Here is a 7705-nt window from a genome sequence, read left to right on the forward strand (position 1 = left end):
AATCAATCAACTGAAACCAACCTGGAACTGACACAGATGTTAGAATACTCAGACAAGGACATTAAAGCATGTATTATAACTATATTCCATACATTCAGAAAGCTTAGTAGATACATGGAATATAGAAAAATAGACTCAAATTCAACTTTTAGCGATAAAACTGTATCTGACCTGAAAAATACATTGGGTGGGATTAGTGACAAATTAGACATTGTAAATAAAAAGATTAGTGAAGTCGAAGGCATAGTAATAGAAGCTATCCAAAATGAAACACAGAGGGAAAAAAGAATTAAAAAACTAAACAGTACATCTGTGAGCTGTGGGACAACATCACACAGCCTAATACACATGTTATTGAATACTCGAAGGAAGGGGGGGAACATAAAAACAATATGAAGAAATAATTGCTGAAAACTTTTGATGAAAGCGATATATGCACAGATCTATGGAGCTAAATGGACCCTAAATAGAAGAAACGTGAAGAAAATGACACCAAGGGATATCATAATCGAAGTGTTTAAAGTCAGTAATAAAAGAAACTTTTTTTTTTTTTTTGAGACAGAGTCTCACTCTTGTTGCCCAGGCTGGAGTGCAATGGTGTGATCATCTTGGCTCACCGCAACCTCTACCTCCGGGGTTCAAGCGATTCTCCTGCCTCAGCCTCCCAAGTACCTGGGATTACAGGCACACGCCACCACGCCCAGCTAATTTTGTATTTTTAGTAGAGACAAGGTTTCTCCATGTTGGTCAGGCTGGTCTCAAACTCCCAACCTCAGGTGATCCACCCACCTCGGCCTCCCAAAGTGCTGGGATTACAGGCATGAGCCACCATGCCCAGCCATAAAAGAAACTTTTAAAAGCAGACAGCAGAAAAAGGCACATTCATGTAGCGGAACAAACATAAGGTTGACAACAAATTTGTCATCAGAAACAATACAGGCAAGAAGAAAGTGGAACAACATTTTTATAGTACTGAAAGACAAAAACATCTGCCATCATAAAATTCTAAACCTAGTGAAAATATTTTTCAAATATGAAGATGAAATAAAGATTTCTTCAGGCATACAAAAGCTGAAATAGTTCATCACTAGAAGAATGAAGAAATGTTAAAGAAAGTTTTTCGAGGGAGCCCGTCTGGCCATGGTGGCCGCGGCTGGTGGTTGGCGCGCTGCGCTGCGGCCCGGGGCAGTGCGGAGCCAGGACAGTCGCGGCGCTGACGCCCGCGGGCCCCAGCTGCAGATATGAAGCGGAGCCGCTGCCGCGACCGACCGCAGCCGCCGCCGCCCGACCGCCGGGAGGATGGAGTTCAGCGGGCAGCGGAGCTGTCTCAGTCTTTGCCGCCGCGCCGGCGAGCGCCGCCCGGGAGGCAGCGGCTGGAGGAGCGGACGGGCCCCGCGGGGCCCGAGGGCAAGGAGCAGCCGCCTGCCTTGGCCTCCCAAAGTGCCGAGATTGCAGCCTCTGCCCGGCTGCCACCCCGTCTGGGAAGTGAGGAGTGTCTCTGCCTGGCCGCCCATCGTCTGGGATGTGAGGAGCCCCTCTGCCTGGCTGCCCAGTCTGGAAAGTGAGGAGCGTCTCCGCCCGGCCGCCATCCCATCTAGGAAGTGAGGAGCGCCTCTTCCCAGCCGCCATCACATCTAGGAAGTGAGGAGCGTCTCTGCCCGGCCGCCCATCGTCTGAGATGTGGGGAGCGCCTCTGCCCCGCCGCCCCATCTGGGATGTGAGGAGCGCCTCTGCCCGGCCAAGACCCCGTCTGGGAGGTGAGGAGCGTCTCTGCCTGGCCGCCCCGTCTGAGAAGTGAGGAGACCCTCTGCCTGGCAACCACCCCGTCTGAGAAGTGAGGAGCCCCTCCGCCCGGCAGCTGCCCCGTCTGAGAAGTGAGGAGCCTCTCCGCCCGGCAGCCACCCCATCTGGGAGGGAGGTGGGGGGGGGTCAGCCCCCCGCCCGGCCAGCCGCCCCATCCGGGAGGGAGGTGGGGGGGTCAGCCCCCCCGCCCGGCCAGCCGTGCCATCCGGGAGGGAGGTGGGGGGGTCAGCCCCCCGCCTGGCCAGCCGTGCCATCCGGGAGGGAGGTGGGGGGGTCAGCCCCCCGCCCGGCCAGCCGCCCCGTCCGGGAGGTGAGGGGCGCCTCTGCCCGGCCGCCCCTACTGGGAAGTGAGGAGCCCCTCAGCCCGGCCAGCCACCCCGTCCGGGAGGGAGATGGGGGGGTCAGCCCCCCACCTGGCCAGCCGCCCCGTCCGGGAGGGAGGTGGGGGGGTCAGCCCTCCGCCCGGCCAGCCGCCCCATCTGGGAGGTGAGGGGCGCCTCTGCCCAGCCGCCCCTACTGGGAAGTGAGGAGCCCCTCTGCCCGGCCAGCCGCCCCGTCCGGGAGGGAGGTGGGGGGGTCAGCCCCCCGCCCGGCCAGCTGCCCTGTCCGGGAGGGAGGTTGAGGGGGGGGTCGGCCCCCCTGCCCGGCCAGCCACCCCGTCCGGGAGGTGAGGGGCGCCTCTGCCCGGCCGCCCCTACTGGGAAGTGAGGAGCCCCTCTGCCCGGCCAGCCGCCCCGTCCGGGAGGGAGGTGGGGGGGTCGGCCCCCCGCCCGGCCAGCCGCCCCGTCCGGGAGGGAGGTGGGGGGGGTCGGCCCCCCGCCCGGCCAGCCGCCCCGTCCGGGAGGTGAGGGGCGCCTCTGCCCGGCCGCCCCTACTGGGAAGTGAGGAGCCCCTCTGCCCGGCCAGCCGCCCCGTCCGGGAGGGAGGTGGGGGGGTCAGCCGCCCCGTCCGGGAGGGAGGTTGGGGGGTCAGCCCCCCGCCCGGCCAGCCGCCCCGTCCGGGAGGGAGGTGGGGGGGGTCAGCCCCCCTGCCCAGCCAGCCGCCCCGTCCGGGAGGGAGGTGGGGGGGTCAGCCCCCTGCCCGGCCAGCCGCCCCGTCCGGGAGGTGAGGGGCGCCTCTGCCCGGCCACCACCCCGTCTGGGAGGTGTGCCCAACAGCTCATTGAGAACGGGCCAGGATGACAATGGCGGCTTTGTGGAATAGAAAGGCGGGAAAGGTGGGGAAAAGATTGAGAAATCGGATGGTTGCCGTGTCTGTGTGGAGAGAAGTAGACATGGGAGACTTTTCATTTTGTTCTGCACTAAGAAAAATTCCTCTGCCTTGGGATCCTGTTGATCTGTGACCTTACCCCCAACCCTGTGCTCTCTGAAACATGTGCTGTGTCCACTCAGGGTTAAATGGATTAAGGGCGGTGCAAGATGTGCTTTGTTAAACAGATGCTTGAAGGCAGCATGCTCGTTAAGAGTCATCACCAATCCCTAATCTCAAGTAATCAGGGACACAAACACTGCGGAAGGCCGCAGGGTCCTCTGCCTAGGAAAACCAGAGACCTTTGTTCACTTGTTTATCTGCTGACCTTCCCTCCACTATTGTCCCATGACCCTGCCAAATCCCCCTCTGTGAGAAACACCCAAGAATTATCAATAAAAAAATAAATTAAAAAAAAAAAAAAAAAAAAAAAAGAAAGTTTTTCAGGCAGAAGGAAATAATGCCAGTTGGAAATCTGAATCTACATGAAGAAAAGAAGTACACCAGAAATGGTAAATGAATTTCTAATTTTTATTTAAATATACTTAAAAGATAACTGTCCAATTAACAGAAATAAAAAATAATGTGTTGGTCACAAAGGAGGAGGGTGGTTAGTAAGAAGTGGAAAACAGGCCAGGTGTGGTGGCTCATGCCTGTAATCCTAGCACTTTGAGAGGCCTAGGAGGGTGAATTGCTTGAGTCAAGGAGTTTGAGACCTGCCTGGGCAACATAGCGAAACCTCGTCTCTATAAAAAATACAAAAATTAGCTGGATGTGGTGGCGTATACCTTTAGTCACAACTACTCAGGAGGCTGAGGTGGGAGGATCACCTGAGCCTGGGAGTTTGAGGCTGCAGTGAGCCTCGATCATGCCACTGCACTTCAGCCTGGGCAACAGACAAAAACAGAAACAGAAATGGAAACACAGATTCAACAAATAATAACAACTTTTGTATTTTTATGGAGGTATAAATGATATACAAAGAACTGCACATATTTAAAGTGTACAACTTGATTAATTTTGATATGTTTTCATGCGTGAAACTATCATCATAATAATGAATATTTGTAAAATTTCCAAAAGTCTCCTCATACTCTTCTGTAATTTATCTCTCCCTCTGCTCCTCTCCTGAGGCAATCATGGATCTGCTTTCTGTCACTATAGATTTCTAGAATTTTATGTGAGTAGAATCATACAGTCTGTACATTTTTTGTCTAACTTCTTTCACTAAGCATAATGCCTTTGAGATTCACCCACTGATGCATGAATCAACAGTTCATTCCTTTTTATTGATGAGTAGTATTCTATTTTATGGATATACCACAGTTTGTTTATCCATTTACTTGTTGATAGATATTTGGGTTATTTCCAGTTTTGGAGATTATGAATAAAGCTTCAATGAACAACAAAGAAAAGTTGTCTATGTTAGACTGAAGAAGAAAAAAATCGCATTCCTGTATAGTGTCTAACTTAACATTTTATACAGAGAAGATGTTAAATATATTATGATTTAACAGAAACCTACCTCATATGGTAGTTGTAAGGAAAAATAACTTATTTGCATTGTAAGCACTGAATCAACACCTACAGATAATATTACAAACATGACTAAATTTTATTTCTAAGTAGCTAACTGACCCACAATACAACCTAGCTATCTTGCTCTTAAGAACTTAAATCATTAAAATAAGACCACAATTTAGCCCAGATTGCCAAATACATACCATGAGATATCACAGAGTTTGAAAGGAATGAAAGTATAGCATCCTGACCCTCTTGTCTCTGTAACCCCCTTGAAGAGAAGACACAGGATGACAGGTCTTAATAAAGAAAGAGGCTAAAGACAATTTCTGCCAGAAGCCTTTTAGGTTGGTTCACTATGAGCAGTAGCATTAAGAAAACAACTGAGTTGCCCAGTATTTAGAAAACAAAAACATCATATGTCTAAAATCCATTCTAAAATCAGTACTTACAGCAGTTTTATATGCAGCTTCAATGTAAAACACAAGGTTCTGTATGAAATTGACTTCATCTAGGCTGTGGATGATATGGAGTCCTGAGGAAAGAGGGAATAAAGATACAGAACTGGTCAATTATCACTATAAGCTTTATAGGCAGCCATAGTGACTAACTGATCTCACTAATCCCAAGCAATCCTACTCCTGCCTAGGAACAATGGAAGGCACTTTGATCTTAAACTATAAAAACAAGACCACAAACAAGTCCTAGGCTAGTCTCCAACTAAGCGAGATATAAGCATATTTCAACATGGAAGAATTTTAACTGTTATTTACAGATTTTACCAAAAAGTAAAATCTGATTCTATAGGTAACTAATTTATAATATGCTTAAATGTACAAACCTAAGCACTTGGGGAATAAAAGACAAATATTTCAAAACTGAGCTGGAAGGGGTCTAAATACTAAGCAAGAAATAGATAAAATTATGATTTTAAAAAGGACTTAAATTGCATTTTTAAGTAAAAATGATAATTATTCTAAATGTAAGCCATACAAAGATATTATAACTTACACACAGAATGTTTTACATGAATTATCCATTTAATTTTTCAACAACCACCCTAAGAGGTAAGCACCTCTATTTTCTCCATGAGGCTTAAAGGAGTTAAAAATTTTCCTAAGGTCATGTAACTAACAAATAGTGGAACCGGGACTCAATTGACTGTTGATTTCAGTTTCATTTCAGAGAATGCTGAATGCAGTTTCATTAGGAGGTAAGATGCTATACTGCCTCCTAATATGTATAATATGATCCATTTTTGCTTAAAAACTCCTCTCTTTATATCTCCCCCCTCAAACATACAGAACTACACAAATATATAACCAGGAGGATGTTAGTTAATAGCAGTTATCTTTGGTGGTGAGATTCAAGGTAGTTTTATTTTATCTTTTCTGGACATTTTTGCAATTTTACAGTATTCTACAAGAAACAGGTGCTACTTTTGTAATTTTTTGTAATTTAAAGTTATATTAAAAAGCAAAATCATAATAAATCAGAAAACTGCAGGATATATTTCATAAAATTTTATACAAAATTACTTAATCCTGAGCACTAAAAGTTTTTATACACCTAAAATTTACTAAGCAGTTAACTTTTAATATACCTCTTTTATAACAATAAATATTACTGTTTACATATGAAAGACTTGGTTTGGACTATTTGATTCTAAACTAAGAAATCATTTCAGAATTTAAAAATCAGGAAGCTAATTTTTCCTTTCTGGTCTATAACAAACAGGAGGAAAAAGTGAACATCAGGTTAGCTATAGAGACTAAACTTTTAAGCTTCTCATATTTACTTGGTGGAGGCTATTCTATTTAAACAAAACATTTTTTGTTCGCATTTGTCACAAAAACAGATGTGTTGGTTTAATGGAAATGAGTACATGTGCCAGCTATGTAGTTGTGTTAGCCAGAAAAAGCCAAGAAATTCTAGTTTGCTGAACAGTGGGCATATCTAGAGCAATTAGATCTAGATGAAAAAAACTTCCTTAAAAGGACTTGAGAATGGAAAAAGTCCTCTCACATTCTTAGAAGCATGATGTAAAATGATTGTCAAATGTTTCTTAATGTCAGCTTTCAAATGAACTCCACTGTGAATATCCTGAACACCCATTCCAGTTCAGAAAGAATTCTAAGACCTAACACGCCCTTCGTAAGTCAGCACTTAGTAATACTCTTTCATGAAAAAAATCAAACTGTGCCGAAGGATAACCAGTGAGTCTTCCTCCTACCCAGAACCACATCACCTTCACCACTGCCAAATCTCTCTGGAGAAACCTGTTTTACCAGTTTCTTCTGTATCCTTTCAGAGATATATTATGCATGTACAAACATTACACAAAGGGTAGTACTGTATATTATACTGCATTTTGCTTTTTCATATATAAGTAACTTGGAGATAATTTCAAATACATCTGTCTCATTTTTTTAATAGCTACAGAACATTTCACTGAACGGTTACTCATGTAACCAGTTCCCTACGGAAGGACATTTCGGTTGTATCAAATCTTTCCTCACTACAATGTTGCAATGAGTATTTGTGGAAATATATCTTTATGCACATGTGCCAGTATATCAGGGCAGATTCTTGGAATTGCTGACCCAAAGATGTATGCATATTATTTTCCAATGTTTTATTATGAACACTTTCAAACAAACAGAAAAATATGGAACAATTTTACAGAGGACCCCTGTATACTCACCATCTGAACTCCACCATTAACATTTTAGTATACTTTGTTCATCATATATCTATCCATCTTCCTTTTTGATACATTTCAGAGTAAGCTGCAGATATCCGTACACTTCCCTCTAAATACTTCATCATGTATATTAAATTTTGATAATCATCTCCAAGTTATTCTTCAAAGAAATTCTACAGTTTATATACCAACACTGACTGCCTGTTTCCCTACATCTTTGCAAACACAGGCTTTAAAAAAAATTTTTAATCTTTGTCTCACTTTAGTGGATAAGAAATAGAAGCCCCTTGTAGTTTAATTTCCAGTTTTTTATTATGAGTAAGGTTGTAAATCTTTTGATATATTTATAAGCTATCTGTGTTTCATATTTCTTTTCCTATGAACTGTTTGGTCATGTCCTTCAGATTTTTACTGAATTGCTGGTCTTCC

The 7705-nt window shown here is 45.1% G+C and overlaps 1 protein-coding gene across 8 annotated transcripts in view; it reads right to left on the bottom strand.

Moving 5' to 3' along the window:
• Positions 1-7705, bottom strand: part of PHKA1 (phosphorylase kinase regulatory subunit alpha 1) — a 135493-nt gene that overhangs the window by 100660 nt on the left and 27128 nt on the right. For all 8 annotated transcript variants that reach the window (NM_001440788.1, NM_001440787.1, XM_047442160.1 and 5 more), the window contains one exon: positions 5025-5107. In NM_001440788.1, coding sequence (NP_001427717.1) covers positions 5025-5107 — 83 coding nt within the window. The remainder of the gene's footprint in view (positions 1-5024; positions 5108-7705) is intronic.

Source organism: Homo sapiens, chromosome X, assembly GCF_000001405.40.
Source record: "Homo sapiens chromosome X, GRCh38.p14 Primary Assembly".
NCBI lineage: Eukaryota > Metazoa > Chordata > Mammalia > Primates > Hominidae > Homo > Homo sapiens.